The following is a 25,199-nucleotide window of genomic DNA, read 5'->3' as shown; positions in this document are numbered from 1 at the left end:
ACAGGCGTGAGCTACCGTGCCAGGCCAAGATTTATTCTTTTATTTAAAAAATTATATAGCTCTAGCTCAATGGTTGCCACCAGGGGGGTGATTTTGTCCTTCAGGGGATATTTGGGAACACCTGTAGCCATTTTTGATTGTCACAACTGGAGGTAGTCCTGATACCTGGTAGATAGAGCTCAGATTTGCTGCTAAACAACCTGGAAAGCACATGGTATCCTCACAACATAAAATTATCTGGCCTGATCGTACTGATGTTGAGAAACCCTGGGCTATTTCTTTCCTTTAATCTGTGGAACAGTATTCCCTCGACAGCATATACTATATTTACTTTAGTCCCGTACTGATTGACATTTGGGTTGTTCCAATTCTCTGCTATGGTGACGAGTGCCGCAAAGAACATCCTCACCAGTGTCTGTGTATGTGTGCCACAGGGTTTCTGGTAGCTGCGTTTTCTGTTCTGGGAATCACTTCCAAATGCCATTCCAGAGTGGCTGGACTCCTTGCTTCCACAGCGTCACCTGGGATTCCAATTCCATGCGTCTTTACCAGCCCTTGGTATTATTTAACTTTTAAATTGTTGCCAATTTGAAACGTTTAAAATAGTAGCTCATTTGTAACAATTTTGCATTTCCTGATTGCTAGTAAGACCAGACCACAGGAATCATTCACACCCCAAGCATTCTAGAAAACTGGTGAAAATGTTTTCTGTCCAGCATGCGCCACTTCATTTGGTTTGTCCCTACGTCTTTGATATGTATTAGAAAACCGCACATTTTGGGGGACTAGGCTTGCCTGTTTCTGCCAGTAGAGGTCACTGTTCCTCAGTGGTTCTCCACCAGTATGACTTTTGACCTCTCTACCCTCCCAGGGAGTATTTGGCAACGCCTGGAGCCATTTTTGATAGGACTGTGAGTGTGCTGCTGGCACCTAGAAGTGAGAGGCCAGGGATGTTGCTAAGGCCCTGCAATGCACAAGACAGCTTCCCGCTCCTCCCTCCCCCTTCCCCTCCCCCCTCCCCCCCCCACCAAGAAAGAACCATCTGGCCCAAGTAGTAGTGCCAAGCTGGAGAAACCATGGTGTCGTCTTTGAAAGAAAGAATATGACAATCTCTATGATAATAAAGACACCTATTATTATTAACAACAAATATTTTATTGCGGAAACTGGGGAGAAGCATGCCTCCTGTCCCCAGGGAGAAGGCAGGAGCGAATGGGCAAGGGCAAGGGAAGGGCTTTAAGGGAGAGGAGAGGTGGGCCTGGGGCTCGCTGAGTGGTCGGCTGGAGCAGTGGGAAGTGCCCCGGTGGGGCCGGTGGCTGGTGTGGGGGTAGAACCGCGGTCAGTAGGGTGAAGGTGCTGAGGGCTGGAGGCTCAGGAGGTGGTGGCAGGGGCCTGACTCTTGGAGCCGGGCAGCAGGCTGGGTGTGCTCAGAGGCTCATGGCCCACCTGGCGAAGCTCCTTCCAGGTGCAGGCAAGCCTGAGGCGTCAGGGCAGTGCTACCCGCAGGCCTAGCGCTCCTGCGGCGACCGGGCGCCTGGCGGCCACATATCCTCAGCAGGGCAGGCGGCCGCCAGGAAGGATTGAGACAACGCTGCCCGGGAGTAGGGGCTCTGCTCAGCGGCCTAGACCCGGGCAGAAAGGAATGGGCCACTCCGTTTCTCATCACAGACCCGAAGGCAGATGGCCTGGGCATCGGGCTCCCTCTGCGCTCGGGCGGGGCGATTTTCATGGTTACCAGGCTGCGGACAGGCTGGTGGGGGGGTGGCGGCGGTCCAAAGCCACCGCTTCATGTAGGCCAGGCGAGCCTCAGAGAAATCAGGCCTGATGTTGCTCAGCAGCGGCAGCCTGTTGGGAAAGCACCTCCAGGCCTCGGGAACCATCTCTCTCAGGACGCGGATGCGGGCGGGCACCATCTCTCTCCGGATGCGGATGCGGGCGTAGTCCCAGCTGGGAGGAGCGGTGGGGAGGGGCTGGATGCAGACCCAGCGCTTCCCGTGGAAGTAGGTGACCTTGCAGTTCTCCTGGACCTGGGAGCTGAGGAAGGGCCTGGACAGTAGGGCCCAGTGCTTCTGGCGCGGGGGTCGGGCGGGGGGGTGGGTGCGCGGTTTTCTGGCCCAGAGCCAGCCCAGGAAGCCGCTCAGGTAGCTGCCCATGAGAGCAGGGCAGTGGGTTGGGCCTTCCAGTAGACACTGGGCTGCCAGAAGTTTCCGAAATCTGCGGTCAGGGCCAGAGATAGTGTCCGGGCTCAGTGACCAGCGACCTTTGGTATCAAAATGTCAGAAAGTGCACGAGGCGCCATGTGCCGGGTACGGTCTGGCCACCAAGTGTTGCATGGGGCAGGAGGCCACGGCCAGGCCAGAGCTTTGCGGCGCGCAGCTGCAGAAGGGGCAAGTGGCGCCCCATGCTGTCTGGCGGACCAAGGAGGCTCAAGCCTCAGTCCTTCCCACTCATGGTCCCAGACACTCAGCTCTGGGCAGAGGGGCCTGGCAGCTGCCTCTACTTTTGTACCTGACCTTTAAAAACAGAACATAGAAGAATTTCTGCCAGGTCCTGAAAACTGCAGATACCTGTTGACAGAAGGGTGCTCTCTTTGATCAGTGTGAAAATGATCACAATACACTTGGATGCTCTAAACAAATCCTTTACTCATATCAGATTCTTCTAGGATGGATGTTAATGTTGCTTTTTGCAATTTTGCTCTTAAGTAAACTGGGAAAGCCATCAGGTTTTGTTTTAGCATTGGCAATGTTGATTTTATGTGGACTTTCCTATAATTTCCATCCTGAGTACATCCATGTATAGATTGTCTCTCTCTGAACACTATTTTCATTTCTCCCCTTTCACTTGTAATACAGAGGAGAGTGAGTCACATTTCCAATTTGCAGTTGAAAAGTCTGTAACTGCAAAACAAAGAGTTCAAAGACTGCTGGTGAATTGATTATAGTGTTTAAGTTGGAGGTTTGTTCAAGGCGATGTAAAAGAAACTTGTTTTTGAGAACTTTTTCTTCAAAAGTACACACAGAAGGTGCCTTTTGTCTTGGCCCTGATGCTGGGGTGGAAGAGAGACAGTAGATGCAGACAGAGCAAGTATTGAATCATGAGGGGGCAGCAGATCCTCTCTGGATCTGAGAGGTGGAAGACTGAATGGGCAGGGCACTAAAAAGAGTTGAATGAGAAAATACCAAAGGTTTCTGTGGTTCAGAGAGGGCCAAGCATTGGGGAAACGGGGGCTGTCACCAACCGGTGATGGAGAATGAGATCCCTAATGCTCTCCACTGACTATTATTATTTTTTGGCAGATTCCCTGTTATTCCCTATAAGGAATGATCCCCAAGTATATGATTTTGAAACAATGGGAATTTCCTATATAATTTTCTTCTTACTGAGCTCATTCTTCATAATGGTAGAAATGACTTTTTAAACATAGCTAAGATGTCTCTTAAGATAGTAGTAGCATCAGAGTGAACGGTTTAATGCCATTTGGTATGATATTCTTCTCATGTATTTTTTCTTTCCACTGTCTGCAGAATTTCCCATGTCCTACTTTGCAATGTAACCCAGAGGGTATCATTCTGGTTTGTGGTTACAGACCCTTCAAAAAATCACACCCTTCCTGCTGTTGAGGTGCAATCAGCCATAAGGTAATCACCCTTAAATATGCCTTCTATTAGTCAATCAACTTGCTGATTAATTCAACTGTTTTTAAAAATAGATATTGAAGAGTTTTATCTGTTTCATACATGAATTATTTATTAAAATGACAAAGATTTCATTTTGTTAGTTTCTGTTAGAGATGAGTATAGATCAGTAGTTCTCATCCAGGGGCAATTTTACCTTCAAGGAGACATTTGGCAATATCTGGAGACATTTCGCAATGTCTGGAGACATTTTTATTGTCACAGCTGGAGGGGGTGGTGGTACCACCAGCATTGAGTAAGCAGAAGTTAGGGACCCAATAGCTTACCTTTTTCAGTCAATATATAGTCTTTACTTTAAAAAGATAATTTTTTTTAAAAAAAGGTAAAATCATGACTCTCATGCAAACTAATCATTATTACTATCAAAAATTTTATCTCATTAGTTAATGAGGGCACTAGTAAGATGTTAAATTCTTTTTCAAGGAGACTTCAAGGAACCACCCATATATAGAAAGTGAGGAATGGCAAAATGCATTTACAGAAGGATGCATCAGTCTATTTTTCGGGCAGTAACCAATTATGTTCCACTAGACACAGTTCATTTGATTTTCTATGGACAAGAATCATTTACATTATGTTAGTTTTCAAGAACTTAGGGATTTGCAAAGTAGCTCAAAGACCGTAAGAGATGGAAATTGCCTAGAAAGGTGCTCTCAGCAGGACAATCAGGAAAAAGTCCAGTACTCTGTTTTGCCCATTTCAAGTATTTTACAATTTTTCCCGACTTCCCGACAGTTGTACTCCTCCCCTCCTTATGATCGTAAGAAACTCAAAAGTGAAACGAATTCGAGACTTTCAAGAATTAGGAGGATGCAACTTGTATTTCTTTCAATTACTGTGCCTTTGGTATGTGTCAAAACTTCAAATACCACATGTGATTGATGTTGGGCAAAGATATACTCAAAAAATGAGCTCAGGAAATAAACTAGAACAAAGCAAAGTAGCTCTCCCCACACAAGATTTACAAGTTACTGAAATACATATTATTCTTTTTACCAAGGATAAATACCTACTGGAATAACTCATTAGCTCTCTGTAAAATGTTAACACTTAAGATAATGAGTATATAATCAAATGTCAAAGGTTTTTGTGAACATCATCTATTTCTTTTGCTGAAGCAAAGGCACTGAGGATTTATACTGATTGGAAATGGTTGAATCTGCCCTAACAAGAAAGTTTGAACTAAATTGCTTCTTCACTGTGGCCACTAAGAATACTGTTAAGACTCTCACCACTTAGGGAGTAAGAATTATAAATATCATATTTCATGTGAAAAAAGATTTTATTCATGTCTTGTGATCTGTGAGGGCTACAGGGAAAATGAAGGCACTGGGTTAAACCAGTCCTTCAGTTGATAGGAGGAGGAAGAGTGAGTGCTTAGGGTGAAGGTCTGGGAAGTATTAATACATGAATATGTTCACAACAAAATGTCTTTTTCAAGGGTCCTAGCAGGAGAATCTATTTAGGAAGTGGGGATAGCCAATAGAATGAGAATTTATGTCAGGGAATTAGTAGGGCACATCAGGATTGGATGAAAATAAAGGAAACTATACAACAAAGGAAGGATAGAGTGAAAAAAAGGAGATGGTGTTTAGAGAGCAAATAATAGGAATTTCAAGGCTGAAGAATCTAAGTGATTGGGCAAAATAATACTAGTTCCACCTAATATTTGCATACCACTTTTTGGTTCACAAGGAATGTTCTTATGCATCTGTGGCATTTAATAATGACACCAACAGTTTTTTTTTGTTTTCTTTTTAAGAGGCAGAGTCTGGCTTTGTTGCCCAGGCTATAGTACAGTAGCATGATAATAGCTCATTGCAGCCTTGAACTCCTGGGGTTCAAGTGATCCTCTTGTCTCAGCCTCCTGAGTAGCTGGGACTACAGGGATGTGCCACTATGCCTGGCTAATTTAAATTTTTTTTTTTTTTTGTAGAGACAGGGTCTTACTATGTTGCCCAGGCTGCCCTTGAACTGGCCTCAGGCGATCCTCCTGCCTCAGACTCCCAAAGTGCTGGGATTACAGGCATGAGCCATTGCACCCAGCCAACACCAATAATTTTTCAGTAATTACTATTATCTCTCCTTTATAAATGAAGAAACTGAGGCTCAGGGAGATTAATTGATTTGTTAAGGCCACCATGCTAGAAAGAGAAAGTGAGGACTTGAACCTAGGCATCCTGCCACCATATCCAGTGATTTTTCCTGTTTACCAGAGTACACAAAGAACTGAAACAGACATCTTAGAATTGGTTGGTCATTCCTTTACACAAAGTGCTTAGGGTGAAGGTCCAGGAAGCACGTGAATTTGTTCACAAAATGTCTATTTCAAAGGTCCTAGCAGGATAAACTATTTAGGAAGTGGGGATAGCCAACAGAATGAGAATTACAAAATTCTCATTTCAAGTAAAATAATTGAAATGGGCAAAAAAGAGTACTGGACTTTTTACCAATACAGAGTATACATAGTATGAGGTAAAGGAGTGACCAACTAATTCCAAGATGTCTGTTTTAGTTCTTTTGTGAGGGCGTGGCCTAATTCAATACCACTCTTGGCTGAAAGACATACATGATGCTTGATGCCAATTGGTGATTCCAGTGGTGGAGCAGATTTAATATGTACCTGAGCTAGAACTTCCAGTCAGTCTGTGAGATGATAGAATACATTCCAAGCCTAGAGTGAGCAAGTAACAAAGGGTTAACCAACTAGGAAGATAGAATGAGAATGCAGAGCAACTTCTCATTTTTCTCTGAGTTATATCTTAGCAGTGGGTTTCATTATTTTGTGGAAAAGTTTGTGCTCTCAGATGTTCAATATTAGGTTATGACAAAATAAAATATTCCATTGTTGGATAAAAATCCCTTGTTGTAGATTATCTGGCTAGAGTTCACTTTCACATCCATGAATAATCATGCCACAGCATAGTTATTTATTTACTAAAGGGGGTCTTTCCTGATAGCCTGGTGCTGGCCTGCAGAGATTCTCAAGCCATACTATCAGGCTGTAGACTTGGACTGTCCGGTACCGTAGCCACCAGCCAAATGTGGTTATTAAGCACCTGAAATGTGGCTAGTTCAAAGTCAGGTGTGCTCACAGTGTAAAACATAAGCCAAATTTCAAAGACATTGTACAAAATAAAATGTGGAGCCCCAGCCTGGGCAATATAGCAAGACCCTGTTTACACACACACACACACACACACACACACACACACACACACAGCCAGGTGTGGTGGCACACACCTGTGGTCCTAGCTACTTGGGAGGTTGATGCAGGAGGATTGCTTGAGCCCAGGAGTTTGAGGCTGCAATGAACCATGATCGTTCCTGTCTCAAAAAACAAACAAACAAACAAACATGCAAAGTCAACTTGATACTGTTTACATGTTGAAATTACATTTTCTTGGATATATTGGACAAAAAATACATTATTAAAATTAGTTTCATCTGTTTATTTTAGTGCAGCTACTAGAAAATTTTAAGTCACACGAAGCTCACATTATATTTCTGTTTTCCAGGGCTGCTCTAGAGGTAGACAAAGGCAGCTTGCATAATATGAATTCAGTAAAGGTCATAAAATATCTCCAAGGACTCTCCAGTTTACAGTTAGAAATTCACTTATTTGGTTTCAATTAAATAAGTCTTTGCTACCAACCTCTCCTTAACTGCCACCACCACTAAAAATGCAGATATTTCCTAGGAAAAGTAACATTTTTCTAAGCTTTTGAACTCCTAAATCATTAATGTCTTTAGTCCTATGGAACTACTTGCAATTTGCTGAACAAGTCTTACTTTACCTTGTTTCCATTCCTGTGCTCACCACATACTTTGGTCTAAAAACTCCTACTTGTCCCTCAAAACAGAGCTCAAAAATGGCCTCCACAGCAAAGCAGCTCTGACTTCTCACAATGGTGTACTTGGCCCTTCCCTCTGCTCACACTGTGCCCATATTTGCCTCTTTCACAGAACATTTTGTACCACACTGTGGTTGTGGATCTACTGATCTGTCACCCTTCTAGACCGTAAGCTCCTTGGTACTTTAATTTCACGTTGTATCTCCAGCATCTAGCACAGTATTTGATATTTAATAAGTTTTTGGCAAATGTTTGTTGAATTAATGAAAAAAATATCAAGATCAAGTTGGTGAATTTGAAGCCACTCCTGGTTCATGTTTTCATTTTTGCTTCTGGTTTTCTTTACTTCTCCTATTCATCACCCATATTTTACATGTAATTTTACTTTTGGGGGCTGTGATATTTATGTAAGCCACCTTAAATAGAGCTTTGTCATTCTAATCTAGATGCTACTCACACAGGACAGGTGAAACCCAAATTGAGGCTTAGCCCATGAGGATTCTGGGCTTTGCCCAGGAAAAAAATTCAAGAGAGAGCCAGAAGTAGAAGAAAACAACTTTACTGAAGAGGCAGTATTATAGCTCCTGTGATGTTACTGCTCTGTGACTGCTCCTGCAGAGCAGGACTACCCTGTAGGCAGAGACTAGCAGCTCAGGGCAGTTTTGCAGTCATATTTATACCCACTTTTAATTACATGTAGATTAAGGAGCAGTTTATGCAGAAATTTCTAGGGAAGGGTAATAACTTTGGGGTCATCACATCATTGCTATGGAAAGGGGTGGTAACTCCCAGGTGTTGCCATGGCAATGGTAAACTGACATGGCACACTGGTGGGCATGTCTGATGGAAAGCTGCTTCCCCGCCACCCCCTAGCTCTGTTTTAGTTAGTCCTCAGTTTGGTCCAGGGTTAGAGCCCTGCCTCCAGAGACGAGTCCCTCCGTCTACCTTACTACCTCTCAGGAAATAAAACATGGTGGACAGAGCTCAAAGCTCAGGACTTCTGGACATTCACAACAATGGGGGCAGCAGTGGATACATGGGTATCCCTCTGGCAGCTAGTGTTGTAACTTAAGAGAAACTATGGCATGATTGCCCTCAGCAAACTTTTTAGTCAACTTGAAGTCTCCTGCCAGGAGGATGCTTTGTTTATAGAGATATTTATAATCATGGAGAAACAGGTTTGTACTTTGTCTTAATAGTTTTTTTTCTGTCTTATTTTGTTTATTTTTAATTATCATTGCATTTTAGAATGAACAAGAACCGGATCAACAATGCCTTCTTTCTAAATGACCAAACTCTGGAATTTTTAAAAATCCCTTCCACACTTGCACCACCCATGGACCCATCTGTGCCCATCTGGATTATTATATTTGGTGTGATATTTTGCATCATCATAGTTGCAATTGCACTACTGATTTTATCAGGGATCTGGCAACGTAGAAGGTAAGATATTTAAAAGGAGTGATTGAAAGAGCATTTTCTTATTTCCTCATGACTTGGACAAATCAGGAGAGGATTTTCCTCTGGCTGAAGATAATGCCTTAAATTTGAAACTTTGAAAAAATTGGTGATTTTCAAAAATATCACTTATGCTCTTTTCTTTAGATATATTTTAGAGTCCAGCGTCCCTTACTTAACTAGGCTCCTTCCACGACTACCTTTCCCTCTATTCTGTACCACATAAATGTTTCATATCCAGGCTTGATTTTAATATCTGTGTTGTGATTTTGTAAGCTAGATGTAAGGAGCTAAACAGACTTTTTGGGTAGGCAGAGTTAATCTTTGGTAGTCATCCACATCCAAATGCCAGCAGGTTCATAGTTGCATGCCTCCCTACTTTGGCTTACCTCTTCTTAGTCCAGTGCATGCAGGCTACCATCTTGTCCCAGATGCCTTTGTACTGTTTTATACTTCCTTCCCTTTGATGGACACTCATCCCTTGTGTGCCTATGATATTGAATAGAGCTGTGTTGCTTGTGGCCTTTAAATCAACTCTCAGCATCAGACATCACCTGGAACACTTGTTTAACATGTAGGTTCTTTGGCCCTATTGCAGACCCACTAAATTAGAATCTCTGAAGGGATGCATTTTAATGAATACTCAGGTCATCCTTATTCATTGAGTTTGAGAGCTTTCAATTTAACAATTTATAGGTAGAGTTTCACTTCTTGAGTTCGTTTACCTAGATTCTGGAGGCATTTGCAAACTTCGATGTCTAAGTTATTGATACTGCTTCAAGAGGGAATTTAAGACCTGTGGGGAAGTTACTGAGGTAGTGGAGAAGAAGAGGAGACAGGATTTCTCAGCATGATTTTGTTAACCAGTACCTCTAATGCAGGGGGGAAGATGGAAAAATCCTCAGCTTTTCACTAGACTTTAATGCTTGTAAACCTTCCTTTCTGATACTAAGGAAGAATAATTCTGGTAAGTGGTAATTACAGTGACATGCATTTGAAAATAACAGGGACATGGTTTTTAAAAGTGTTGGTTCTTACATGGGACATGTGGGATGTGTTTGGCTAAGTAAGTATGTGTTGACTAAATGCTCCTCTTGAAGTTTACTACTTTCCATATGTTTCACCCTAGTAACTAACAGAAGGTAATAATTTTAAATCTTGGGCTTTGTAATTTTATTCACAAATGATAAGTAAAATGCTATGAAATAAATATGGTTTATGTCTAGTCCTCAAATTAAATTCAAAGATTTAGGATCAAGTTACACTTACCTGATTTTTTTGATGATCTTGGCATGGCATGTAATGCAAAGAGACTTGGTACAAGATGTGCATTTTGGTTTTTCTTTTGAAAATATTGAGAAATATTCTCATGCAATGCTTGAATACCTGTGTTTAATACTTTTGTTTTGTATTAATCTTGAGATGCTTTGATTCTGTGTTCTAACAACTGTAACATTAGTGAATTCACTCCATCTACTTGGTTTCTAATTTCCTCACTAGTACAGTATAGTGTAGGAGTTAGAAGAATGGACTCTGGAGATAGATTGCTTAGACTCAACATATTTATCTCTTAGATTCTGCCCTTGTATATAATCCATTAACTGTATGGATATCAGGAAGCACAGTGAGTCAGGGAAACTGAGCTTAGGAGAATATAATTTGTGGTGCTAGACTCAAGCTGGTTAAGTTTATCTTTACTGTTTGTGAATAGATAACTTTTCTAGAGTGACAGTGAGGTGTACTGGAAATAATTAACTTGGTGGGATAAAAAGAGTTAATACATAGAGTGCTTAGAGTGGTATCTGGCACACAGTGAGTGCTCAATAAGTGTTAGCTGTTACTATTATTTTATGATCTTGCCATTTGCTGGCCTTTCAGCTAGTTTGTATTGGGATCAGCTATCTCTTTCCTTCTGAGCAGATTCTGCAGTAATATAATAATTGGGTGTGTAGCATCATAATTTGTTGCCTGGGAGAAGTGAAGCTGTTGTCACCACCTTGCCTTTACAAATTTATTTCATGTTCAAACTGGGAAAGCAGATGGACACATCTCTTGTGTAAACCGGGAGAGCATCAATAATTAGCAAATATAGTCAGGAAAATTATGACAACCTTCTGAAGATAAATTGTTTGTTGTGTTTTAAGTTTGACACAATTTGTGATGGGTTTCTCCTGGACAAAATGTTGCGTCAAATGTGAGGAGAGGGTGCAGTTTGAAGTGGGGAGAGCCCTGAAAATTGCAATGAAAGCCCTTTCTAATCATGGAAAAGATAGGAGTTGCCCCCAAAACCTTTAGTTTCGAGGAAGACAGTCAAAGGAATGTTCAACAATCTAATCCATACATTAGATAATAATGAACATAGTTTTTGTGGTACAGAATCTTAAACTTAGAAGACCTGGAGGGACCATGGGATTATCTAAGTCACCATTCTGCTTCTATGGAGAAGAGTGCCAGAGTCATCTAACACACATATATATATTTAAACTTACTATTGAGGAAATTTCTCAGCAAAGCTTTAACAATTCTGTTATCTTTGCCAATAACACCATTATATTAATTATTCAGGGACAGTGAGTGGCAAGTATGCAACCAATGGAGCCCAAACTAGGTAAACTCAAATACCAGCTGTGCCCTTTACCTGTATAATCTTAGTTGAGTCACCTGATTTCCAGGGATCTCAGTTTCTCCATCTGCAACAGGGAGATGATGTTTCACAGGGCTTTCATGAGGATTGACTGACATAAATGTGTATAAAGTACCTAGGATATAGTGTGCACTAAATAAACAGTAATTATGATTATCCAAGATCGGCTTAAGCCATTGCTATGATTAAGAGGTGCTGGGAAAGGATCTCTTTTCCACCAAGATATTGTGGAAAATATCTTGGTATTTTCCATCATACTGTAGAAACTTCTCCAATTCACCAACTCATTGCTTGGGATTTTATTAAATGCTTGTTTTATTTTATTAAGGTGTTGTTAACAAATAAAAGTTGTATATATTTATGGCATATAAGGTGATGTTTTGATATATGTATATATTATGAAATGGCTAAATCAAATAATTAACATATAAATTCAACTTATTTATGTGGCATTTGTCTTTCTGTGCCTGGCTTATTTCATTTAGCATACTGTTCTTCAGGTTGATCCTTATTGTCACAAATGTCAGGATTTCCTTCTTTTTAAAGGCTGAATAGTATTTCATTGTACCACATTTTCTTTATCCATTCATTCATTGATGGACACTTAGGTTGATTCCATACCTTGGCTGTTGTGAGTAGTGCTGGGTTGAACATAAAAGTGCAGAAATCTCTTTGACATAATGGTTTCAATTCTTTTGGGTATATACCCAGAGTGGGATTGCTGGATCATATGGAAGTTTATTTTTTATTTTTTGAGGAACTTCCATACTGTTTTCCATAATGGCTGTACTAATTTACATTTCCTGCAGTAGTGTACCAGGGTTCCCTTTTCTCCACATCCTCACCAACACTTGCTATGTTTCGTCTTTTTGATAATAGGTATTCTAATAGGCGTGAGGTGGTATCTCATTGTGGTTTTGATTTGCATTTCCCTGATGATTAGTGAAGTTGAGCATTCTTTCATGTACCCGTTGGGCATTTGTATGTCTTCTTTTGAAAATTTTCTATTGACATCCTTTCCCCATTTTAAAATTGGGTTATTTGTTTTCTTGTTATTGAGTTGTTTGAGTTTCTTATATATTTTTGGATATTAACTCCTTTGCTGTGCAGAAACGTTTCATTTTGATGTAAATCCCATTTGTCTATTTTTGAATTTGTTTTTGTGCTTTTGGGGTCATTGCCCAGACCAATGTCATGGAGCTTTTCTCCTATGTTTTCTTCTAGTAGTTTTATAGTTTCAGGTCTTAGGTTTAAGTCTTTAATCTATTTTGAGTTGATTTTTGTATTTGGTGTGAGACAACAATCCAGTTTCATTCTTTTGCATCGAGATATCCAGTTTTCCTAACACCTTTTATTGAAGAGATTGTTCTTTCCTCATTGTGTGTTCTTGCCATCTTTGTTGAAGATCTGTTGACCATAAGTGCATGGATTTATTTCTGTCCTTGCTATTCTGTTCCATTTGTCTATGTGTCTGTTTTGATGCCACTACCATGCTGAATAAACACTTTTTAAAAATGCAAATAATTCTATGAGGTCTACTGGTCACCACAATAGTGGTGAATTGGTTAACCAGCTCTCTAAAAAATACCCTGATTTGTAGCATTTGCCAGTTTCCCATCAAGGCTGAAAAATTCTGAATAAATACCCTGATTTGTAGCATTTGCCAGTTTCCCATCAAGGCTGAAAAATTCTGAATAAATACCCTAATTTGTAGCATTTGCCAATTTCCCATCAAGGCTGAAAAATTCTGAATATTTAGCAATCAGCCCTTGAAAACCTGTACCAGCCAGATCTAGCACACCATTACAGCTGCCACCTCTTTGTGAAATACCTAGAAGAGGTTGCTTCTCTATTGCCCTCTAGATGAGAATAGCAGTTTGTGAAAATGAGAGATTTGTTGAAGGAAAGAAGTTGGAAAAGCGATTTTTTTTCTTTTATTTATTTATTTATTTATTTATTTTTTATTATTATTATAATTTAAGTTTTAGGGTACATGTGCACATTGTGCAGGTTAGTTACATATGTATACATGTGCCATGCTGGTGCGCTGCACCCACTAACTCGTCATCTAGCATTAGGTATATCTCCCAATGCTATCCCTCCCCCCTCCCCCCACCCCACAACAGTCCCCAGAGTGTGATATTCCCCTTCCTGTGTCCATGTGATCTCATTGTTCAGTTCCCACCTATGAGTGAGAATATGCGGTGTTTGATTTTTTGTTCTTGCGATAGTTTACTGAGAATGATTTTGAAAATTTGGGGCAACAATTAGGGAGCAGAACAAGTGGGAAGGCAACCAGGATGAACTGCATATACTTCACAATAATGTCTCTACTAGATTTAGTGTCTAGCCACAGGCTAGAAGTAGGTGTGTTAGTTGTATGGTCAATTTTATGATGGTAGTGATAATGATGATGGTGATAGTGATGGTGATGGTGATGATGGTGATGGTGATGGTGATGAAGTTGATAATGTGATGTGTGTTTTAATAGAAAGAGCCCTAAACTAAGACTCTTTGTTTTGGGTTCCAGTCTCAGGCTCTGGCATTTGTTAGCTGTGTCCTTGAGCAGGTCACATAAGGAAAATGATGATAATATTTTCTTAAATAGTGTAATGATGAGAAGACAAAATCAGAGAATATATCTAGTGGTTTACATGCTAGAAAGTGCTATATCAATTTAAGTTACTAGCATGACCATAAAAAGCAGTTATAAAGTGCTAATTTTATATAACCTGGAACTTTGTAGTTTACAAGGACAGTCATGGACACAGCACAATTTCAGATTTACATGTATATACTAGAATTGATGTTGAATCCAGTATATAAATAGACTGTTATAATGTTAGACCTTAGTTGTATCTAAGATCACAACTGGGTCTTAGGAAGGGACCTTAACAATGATCCAAATCCAACCCTCCAGAAACCAAAGCCCAGATAAGTAAGAATATTTTATTGTTTTATTGACCATCCATTCTGTGATAGGAGCTATAGTATGTATTGTGGATGAGACAAACATAAATAACATGGATGGTCCTTGCCTAAAAGGAGATTGTAATCTTATAGTAACAAAGCCAGGTCAAAGACTTAGGACATAGAACCCTAGCTAATGCTCCCAGCTGAGTAGAGTCATTAGTAAATTTGCTTGGTTTGTTTCTAGTTATACTTATATTCCCATAAGGTCAATAGTAAATAAAAATGCATTTGGATTTCCACAGATCTTGTTTTTCACACAAGCGGATGTGGCTCAGTCAACACTTTTATATCCTGAAACCACATTCTTATAAAGTCTTAATTAAATGAATAGTCTTAAAAATAGAGGTGTAAATAAAATGAGTAATGTCATAGCGAATATAACAAATGTTTTTCTTTGCTGTTCTTAAATATACATACCTGATAAAAATCTAATGTAAGTGTGTTGAGTAAAGCCTGGGGAGAGTAAATAGAGTTCTAGGTCAACTCCTTTCACCAGTCTTGTTTCATTCTGAAAGACAAGTTACTCTACGTATTTGAGTGTCAATTCCTTCATCTGAAAAACAGAGATGAGGCACGTAGTCGTGGCTGAGTGGTTAAAACGATGGATTTGAAAAACAGTGATAATAAAATATGCATAATATTGCAGTAAGAATTAAGTGAGATGATGCATACAAAACATCTAGTCTGATTTCTACCATGTAATAAATACTTAATATTATCATTAGCATTATCATTGCTATTATATGGCACATGTAAAGCAACTTGCCTACAGTCACATGGTTAGAAAGTAATAGTAACAGGATTTAAAACCAGGTAGGTTTGATTTCAAAGTCCATCAATCTCACTGTGCTACAGTGCCCACTCAAATCATTCCAGTAACCCTATTTACCCCCAGAATCATCCAGAGCAATTCTGAGGATGGTCTCAATTCCCCGATAATTGATTCTGTACTGTTTGAAAATCATATTTGTCTGTCTTTTATTGTCTTTCTGGCTATTCTTGGGTCTTGGCTCTTTAGCTCTATTTTTTTTTTTTTTTTTTTTTTTGAGACAGAGTCTTGCTCTGTCACCCAGGCTGGAGTGCAGTGGCAAGATCTTGGCTCACTGCAAGCTCCGCCTCCCGGGTTCACACCATTCTCCTGCCTCGGCCTCCCGAGTAGCTGGGACTACAGGCGCCCGCCACCACACCCGGCTAATTTTTTTGTATTTTTAATAGTTTCATCATGTCAGCCAGGGTGGTCTTGATCTCCTGACCTTGTGATCTGCCCACCTCAGCCTCCCAAAGTGCTGGGATTACAGGCGCGAGCCACCACACCCAGCCTCTTTAGCTCTATTTATTTATTTATTTATTTTGAGACGGAGTCTCACTCCGTTGCCAAGGCTGGAGTGCATTGGTGCGAACTCTGCTCACTGCAACCTCCACCTCCCGGGTTCAAGCAATTCTGTTGCCTCAGCCTCCCGAGTAGCTGGGACTACAGGCATGCGCCACCACGCCCGGCTAATTTTTATATTTTTAGTAGAGATGGGGTTTCACCATATTGGCCAGCCTGGCCTCGAACTCCTGACCTCAGGTGATCCGCCCGTCTCAGCCTTCCAAAGTGCTGGGATTACAGGCGTGAGCCACCACGCCCGGCAGTCAGCTCTATTTTGTTTGAAGGGGGACAGAAATGCTCTTCCTGCTTTTGGCACCATTACTTTATCTTAGAACAGAGCAAACCCCGTTCCTCAACATCCCCTAGCTCTGAGGGCCACACCTGATACTTCTTTCCTCCCCTCTTTTGCCCCTCTTCTCTCTATATTTATGAGGTATATGAGAGATATTCACTCTCAAGGCTTCTAGGAGCTCGTTCCAGGAATTTTAATCAGTTTTTTCATCCTCTTCCTGAACCCCCTGACATTGCAGGAATAGCAGAAGTAATTAACACTTGATTTTAGTTTTCAGGAAAAAGAACTCATGTTTTTAGCAGAACATCAAATCAGAATGATCCAGAAAGATAGTTAAGTTTTATTATTCTTAGTAAAAGCAATGCACAGGTAGTGAATCAATTTATTACAGCAAACACTATGAAATGTGACAAAGTGATATATTACTGTTAGATAGCCTTTGAGCTGCTTATCATGTCCACCAAGCAGCAAGTTCCTGACACTGCAATTGGTGAAGCCCAGCAATGCCAGGACTCTGCAACTGGATCTATGGTTGTAAAAGAACAATATGCACCTAATTTGCCACTGACACAGCTCAGTTTGATAAATTTCTACAGCAATTCCCCTTGGAATCTTTTTGGTTGAGATATTATTCTTATTCTAAAGAAGAAAAACTTGTCCTCATTTGTTTACATCTTCCTTTTTAGTTTTTCCCCATTCTTTCGTGATGCCTGATGAATCATTTTTCCTTGTTGCTGGGAAGGGGGAAGCGAGATTCCTTGTAATGATCATCACATACGTCTAGCTCTTTGTTATTTTTCTTCTAACTCCATAAATACTTTTTTTATTAACTGAAGAAACTGGAAAATAGGCCCTGGCAATTATTATTTCTAAGACTGCTATTGCATTGCCACCTACTTCAGAATGCTTCCTTTACTAAAATGTTTGTAATACAGGTTTCATACTTAACATATACAAATATCAGGGTAAAATTTGGCTGTCCACAATCTATTTATTGTTGTGGAAAATTATCATTCACTCCAAGCCCAGTGAGGAGTGATTTTGGGGGAATTTACATGAGATAGCCATTTTAAATGATGATTTATAAATAGACATTTGCTACTTACAGCTTCATCTTTAGAAGAAACATTCCTCTCTCTTATAAAGCATTAAAATGGGGAGAGGGAGGATGAGTATATATGGCATTTTTCCCTTTCATTGAGTTCATTTTAGGACAAGGACTGTATCTCTTCCATACACATAGTAGACGCTCAAAATGTAGCTGTTAGTGAATGTTGGATACTATGAATGGAAGTGATGTGATTGATGGTTATAGAATGTTGATTTCCTTTGCTTTCTGGAGGACGTGGAAAGTGAACAATACACCTATCTATAGGAAGAGGAACCAAAGTGTTCTAATCCTCTGGTGGGTAATTTCACCTGGAAGGATCCTCTCATCACATTAAAATCTATGTCCACCCCAACCCATGCTGATTGCTGATTGCTGATGCTTGCCATGACCAGTGTGGTGTCTTCACTCCAAGGATGGAAAAATATAGCAGCCTATCTTTCCCTAGGTCTCTAGGACCACAACTCCTGACTTTCAACCCAGCATTGGGCCAGAAGTTTTATTAATAAATGTTTAAAATGTGGCATCTGCAATTCAGTGATTGCCTATTGTGTTTAATTGTGATATTTGATGGTGGCATATGCAATGGTAAAATACTTTCAAATGATGACATTGGGATCTACAGAATTGGAATGCTACTTTACCTTTGTTTTAAATGAACAACTATTTGAAATTATTTAATAAACCATCAGCAAAGCCTAAAATACAAGAGATACAAGAAATTTCTTGTGTGTAAAATTCCCTTCCTTCCTTCCTTCCTTCCTTCCTTCCTTCCTTCCTTCCTTCCTTCCTTCTTTCTTGTGGTAAAGCCCGTTCAAGGTCTACCTAGGGCTACTGCCTGAGTAACTTTACCTACAACATTAGTCCATACATACATACATCTAATTGTTCAATCTACCATCTATCTTCTGTCCATCTATCCATCCATCCATCCATCCATTCAGCCAGCCAGCCATTAATATATCATCTAGCCAACCAGCAATTGAACTACATTCATTGATTATTTTATCCATCTGTCCATCCACCTTTCATCATTTGTTCAGCCACCCACCCATCTTCTGTCCATCCATGTATTTATTATCCAGCCAGTCAGCCATTAATCTACATTCATTGATTCATCTACCCATACAGTTGAATGCCTACTCTGTGCTGAGTCCAGGTCAGCTGTTTTGCAAAACATTTTTAAATTTGGATTTTTCTGATTAGGCTCCTTATTATGAGATTCAGGTCAAAACAAATTGGAGGGGGCGGGGCTGGAACACAGGAAAAACATATATGTGATCTACTCAGTGTATCACATCAGGAGAGACTTGTCAGTTTCTTTCATTGTTGGAAATTTTCACTAGATTTCTCTTTTAGCAAAATACAAGTGTCCTTTTATAATTAATATTTTGCTTATGGGGGTGATATCTTGAAACCATGTGAATATCCTGTTCTCCAACCGTCTCTCACATAATGGTTTAGTATCCATTGATAATCCTCATCAGAATCAATTATTATTATATGGTGATTTTCTGTTCCTATTACTCTTTCTATATTCGTTGGCATTCTTCTATAAAAAAAGAGCTTTCTCTTTTCTTCACTTTCTTCCACCATATTCTTTTTTTGAAATATATACAATTTTTATTTGTCAATTATACCTCAATAAAACTGATAGGGGAAAATGATACAGAGGACAGGAATGGAGTCAGGAAAATCATGTGGGTGGGAAAGATGATTTAAAAAAAATTTTTTTTTATTATACTTTAAGTTCTAGGGTACATGTGCACCATATCCTTTAAAGCACATTCTCACGCAGGACTAATAGGAATTCCATCTCGGTCATCATTGGGGCACCTTCACCATCTCCTCACCTGTCAGAGACTCACCAAGGTTCTAAGGGACTCTCATAGTGGTGGGACTCTACCTGGTCACCACTGCAGTGCCCAACATCTCAGCCAGATGATCTATTCTTTTCTGCTATTTGGCATTTCCACAAATTCGTGGGACAAGAGAATCCTTTGCAAGTCCAGGAGCCTCATGCCTAACATCATGCCTCCGTGGTGTCACCATGGAGTGGTGCTCCAACATCCAACCTGTGATAAGCCTTAGGGAAACCCCTCCTTCTTCTGGTTGCCTAGAGGCACCCACCTCTCTTTTTTCTTTTACTGCATGATATCAAGCATAATTGTCTCATTGTTTTAGTCTTTCACAAAAGACAGGAAAAACCTTTGAATTTGAGTCTACTGTTTTCCACACTCCAAAGAAATATTACAGATCTGCATATTACTTCGGTTGGGGTCAGCAAGGTCTACAAAGGGTGAAACTATGAGAAACTCAAGAATTTATCCTGTCATATGGAATTTTTGGAGTGACCTGGAATTATAACTACAAGTTGTAAAGTAATTAGGGAAAATGTATTCTGAGTTCCAAAATCGTGACTTGCAAATTAACACAATTATTTTGTAATGAGTAGAGCCAAGCAGCAATATTTGAAGTTTATAGCACTTACTTTCTACAAAGTAATGTTAATTTTCTTTCTGATAGCTCATTTCTATTTGATTTTCACTCAACATTTTCAGACCATTAATTTGTCAAATCCCATGAGAGGAATTTATTACTTTTAGCAATTCAATTGTTATTAAGTTCTCCTAGAGATGGATTTTAAACTTGCGAATTTACTATGCATTTTCTTCACATTACTTCATGCAATTTGTGTGTGTGAGTGTCTATGTGTATATATGTGCATATACACTCATATTCATATACATATTCATCTATATTGATTTTAGTATTCTGAATAAGACCACTTGTGTTGATCACTATGTATATGTCATCTATACAGACTTCTCATCTTGATAGTATCTTTTCACCTCACCAACTCTTTATGGTCTTTGAAATTCGTTTGAAAATTACACAATATCATTAAATTATTTCATTGTTCTAAGGTTCCTATTCCCCTTCCTGTTCTCCATGTTCGTTCAGAAGACCATATGCAACCATGGTTATGGTCCTTCTAGATGCCAATCACTCTTTTTTATGTGCTTTTAGAAAGAACAAAGAACCATCTGAAGTGGATGACGCTGAAGATAAGTGTGAAAACATGATCACAATTGAAAATGGCATCCCCTCTGATCCCCTGGACATGAAGGGAGGGCATATTAATGATGCCTTCATGACAGAGGATGAGAGGCTCACCCCTCTCTGAAGGGCTGTTGTTCTGCTTCCTCAAGAAATTAAACATTTGTTTCTGTGTGACTGCTGAGCATCCTGAAATACCAAGAGCAGATCATATATTTTGTTTCACCATTCTTCTTTTGTAATAAATTTTGAATGTGCTTGAAAGTGAAAAGCAATCAATTATACCCACCAACACCACTGAAATCATAAGCTATTCACGACTCAAAATATTCTAAAATATTTTTCTGACAGTATAGTGTATAAATGTGGTCATGTGGTATTTGTAGTTATTGATTTAAGCATTTTTAGAAATAAGATCAGGCATATGTATATATTTTCACACTTCAAAGACCTAAGGAAAAATAAATTTTCCAGTGGAGAATACATATAATATGGTGTAGAAATCATTGAAAATGGATCCTTTTTGACGATCACTTATATCACTCTGTATATGACTAAGTAAACAAAAGTGAGAAGTAATTATTGTAAATGGATGGATAAAAATGGAATTACTCATATACAGGGTGGAATTTTATCCTGTTATCACACCAACAGTTGATTATATATTTTCTGAATATCAGCCCCTAATAGGACAATTCTATTTGTTGACCATTTCTACAATTTGTAAAAGTCCAATCTGTGCTAACTTAATAAAGTAATAATCATCTCTTTTTGATTGTGTGACTGATTGTGGTCTGGAATTTATTTTCACACTGTGGAACATAGTCTTGTTTTTATTAGTTATCTTTAATCTGCTCTACAACCATAGAAATGAATTATTTTTGTTGTGTGTATCCTTGTTTGAAGACACCTTGTAGTTTTTAGGTTGATTCTATTTCCAGATAGGCCATGAATAATTCTAAATTCTAGGAACAATGATTATACATTTATTAATGAAAATAAAATTTGCTACTCAATTTCCCACTGCTATCACTCATAGTTAAAGTTACAGCAGTAGTCTCTAACTCACTTCCCTGCCTCCAGTGTGCCTCCTTGCATACAAACTCTAAGATAGGTAGCTGCATACAGCAGGTTTATTGGGGCATGCGCTCAGGAGATACACCTTTAAGAAGTGAGGAAGGCAAAGTGTGGCGGACAGCTGTTAAGGTGGCCCGCATCATTCCCATCTCTTGGTGTTCATGCCTTCATAGAATCCCCTCCCCTTCAGTGAGTATGGTACCTGTGGCTTGCTTCTAATGAATAGAATACAATAAAGGTGATGAGATGTCACACTCCTGCAATTACTTTATATTATATCTGAGTCTGTCTTGCTAGCAGATTTGTTTTTGAGATCTTCTTGCTGTCTTGATTCGGTAAGTGGCCATGTTGGGAAAGCCCATGTGAAAGAAACTGTGGTCAGCTTCTAGGACAGAGGTGTCCAATCTTTTGGCTTCTCTGGGCCAAATTTGAAGAAGAATTGTCTTGGGTCACACAAAATACAGTAACACTAACAATACCTGATGAGCTAAACAAAATTCGCCAAAAATGTTTACGAATCTGTGTTGGGCCACATTCAAAGCTGCCCTGGGCTGCAAGCGGCCCACAGGCCACAGGTTAGACAAGCTTGCTCTAGGAATTGCTGGTGACCTCTAGGTACCAAGGACAGCCTCCAACCAACAGCTATCAAGAAGCTGGGATCCTCAGTCTTACAAGGAAATGAATTCTGACAACAACTGGAGGAAGCTTGGAAGCAGATTTTTCCCCATTCAAATCTCCAGATGAGAATGCAGTCTGACCTACACTTTGCAGCCTGAGCAGAAGAACCAGTTAGGCTGTGCCCAGACTCTTGACCATGGACACTGTGAGATGATAAATGTGTATTTTTTTAAGCTTTTAAGTTTGTGGCAGCAACAGGTAACAAATAGAGTAGGATTAGGCAGAGGGAGAAACAACCAGAAACACGGTTACAACAGAAGCCTCAGCCAATCTTTCAGGAAGCTCAGGAGCTGGGGCTATTCCTGATTGAGTTAAGGGAGCAGGGCCTTTGTATTTCCACATTGGCCAGGCATGCCTGTGGGTGCCTTCTGGGAGAGGGTCTATCCTTGAAAAAGGCAGTTCACTGTGGCTGGATGCAATTCCCATTGAAGGACTCAGCTGTGAGCCTTCAATAGCCAATATTCTTAGCTGCTAGGGATGGGTGTATTGGCCTAGAAGAGGGAGCCCAGAAGTCCCCTTAGAATATCTACTGGTCCATTGTCTGTGATACAGCCTGAATGAATGCCCCAAATGTAAACCTGGTCCTGTTAGTTCCTAACACAGACACTTTTAAATGGCTTATCATTATCCTTAGGCTAAAGCCAGACCCCTTAACACAGGGCCTGCTAAAGTTTGACACCCCCTCCATCTCCACCTCCCTCCCTATCTTCATCTCTCACAAGTTCTCTCTCTTTTCCATCCAGTCATACATAGATCTCTCACTTCCCAGCTTTTGAACAGGCTGTTTTCTCTACCCTACCTCTCAGCCACTCTTGTACCTTGTTCTTAGGGTCTTTCTCACATAAACATTTTGATCTCAGGAAGTCTTTGCCAGACATCCGGGATATGGGCTGCTAGAACAGCCAGATAATTATACTCATCTCATTGTACTGTAATTATTATTTTTCAATATATTTTCTATAGAGGAAGGGGACCACAAAGGCAAGAGTGTTTTAGGGCCCACAAAAGTCCTAATGCAGTCTTGTCTTCATAACATTTTTGTAACGCACTTCACTTTGCCCTTGACCTCCAACTAGTTAGAATTAACTATTGCTTTGTAATTTGATTATGTCTACACATTTTTATTTATAATGATTGTAACGCTTCATTTTTTATACTTGTTTATATGTTTGTATCTTCACACTAAATATAATACTCTTAGAGGTAGTGTTCAAGTCACTTAGTAGAGTGCCTTCTCTCCGTTTCCTTATTTTCTCCCTTCTTTCTTTTTTTTTAAATTATTATTATACTTTAAGTTTTAGGGTACATATGCACAACGTGCAGGTTTGTTACATATGTATACATGTGCCATGTTGGTGTGCTGCACCCATTAACTCGTCATTTAGCGTTAGGTATATCTCCTAATGCTATCCCTCCCCCCTCCCCCACCCCACAACATTCCCCGGTGTGTGATATTCCCCTTCCTGTGTCCATGTGCTCTAATTGTTCAATTCCCACCTATGAGTGAGAACATGCGGTGTTTGGTTTTTTATCCTTGCGATAGTTTGCTGAGAATGATGGTTTCCAGCTTCATCCATGTCCCTACAAAGGACATGAATTCATCATTTTTTATGGCTGCATAGTATTCCATGGTGTATATGTGCCACATTTTCTTAATCCAGTCTATCATTGTTGGACCCTTCTTTCTTTCCTTTATCCTACAATGTTGAGCAAAACCAAACACAATCCAAACACAATCCATGCCCTCGTGAAGCTGAAAGTCTATGTAGTCAGAGCTCAATAAATGTGTGCTAATAAACCAGCACATGAAGTGGTAGCTGTTGCAAGCTCATAGTTTTATCCCTTCTGGGAGCAAAGCCTGCCCCTCTCTCTGTAAGTGGAAGAGTTTGAATATGTGGGTAGAAGATTTTTGACTTGAACACCATTTTGACTTGGGAACCATATGGTATTTAATATTAGTAGGCTTCCTTATTTTTAGAAAAGGAATGAGATTTGACCTGTTGGTTGACAAGACGTGACTTACTAAATAATTATTCTCTATCTTACGCTCTTTCGAGTGGTGTACTTCAGGAGAGTAGTTTGACTTTGCATAGAGAAGTCTTTAACTGGTGAAACATCAGCTGAATTCAATCAGTGTGTGCTAGGAAGCATAATCCAAGATACGCATTCTCAACAGGGTGTAAATTGTTCTTGGCGGGGAGAAAAAATTCGAGATATTACAGTGGTTTGTAGTTGTATTAGTCCATTCTCTCACTGCTGTGAAGAAATACCTGAGACTGGGTAATTTATAAAGAAAAGAGGCTTAATTGGCTCACAGCTGTGCAGGCTATAAAGGAAGCATAGCCACTTCTGCTTTTGGGGAGGCCTCAGGAAGCTTCCAATCATGGTGGAAGGGAAAGGGGGAGCCAGGTGTCTCACATGGCAGGAGCAGGAGAAAGAGAAACCAAGCGGGGAGGTGTTGCACACTTTTAAACAACCAGATCTCATGATAACTCACTCACTCTCATGAGAACAGGACCAAGAGGATGGTGCTAAATGATTCATGAGATATCCACCCTGATGTTCCAACCACCTCCCACCAGGCTCCACCTCCAACATTGGAGACTACAATTCAATATGAGATTTGATGAGGACACAGGTCCAGATGATATCAGTAGTCCTCCAAATGATCACAGTATGTAAGCAGATAAACTATATCTAAGATATTAAAATTTCATGGGATAACTATTAAGAAAAAGGTCTAAAAGGCCACAATAACGAAAAGAAGATTGAGAAACACTGATTCTAGATGTTTCTTATTTTGAAGGCATGAGACAAACCTGTTTTGATAACGAGACCATTTTCTTCACTATTTATTCTGCTGCGGAGGGAATGTATTCCACTGGGGGAAGGTCTGTTCCACTAAATATCCTTATTGGAAAAGTTTTCTGTGCTAGCAGAGATGTTCTGTAACCTTGACAATCAATGTAACAGCAAAATAGAGCT

The 25,199-nt window shown here is 39.9% G+C and overlaps 1 protein-coding gene across 4 annotated transcripts in view; it reads left to right on the top strand.

Annotated features, from left to right (window-relative positions):
• The window catches only part of CLTRN (collectrin, amino acid transport regulator), a 48,327-nt gene extending 27,088 nt beyond the window's left edge, over positions 1–21,239 (top strand). For 3 of the 4 annotated variants that reach the window (XM_017029680.2, XM_024452411.2, NM_020665.6), the window contains exons 4-6: positions 3,528–3,641; positions 8,801–8,995; positions 20,430–21,239. In XM_017029680.2, coding sequence (XP_016885169.1) covers positions 3,528–3,641; positions 8,801–8,995; positions 20,430–20,586 — 466 coding nt within the window. In that variant the 3' untranslated portion in view covers positions 20,587–21,239. The remainder of the gene's footprint in view (positions 1–3,527; positions 3,642–8,800; positions 8,996–20,429) is intronic. The other variant, XM_017029681.2, reaches the window with a different exon arrangement.

Source organism: Homo sapiens, chromosome X (genome assembly GCF_000001405.40).
Source record: "Homo sapiens chromosome X, GRCh38.p14 Primary Assembly".
Classification (NCBI taxonomy): domain Eukaryota; kingdom Metazoa; phylum Chordata; class Mammalia; order Primates; family Hominidae; genus Homo; species Homo sapiens.
The sequence above is the reverse complement of the archived record's forward strand: the minus strand, read 5'-3'. Positions and strand labels throughout refer to the sequence as shown.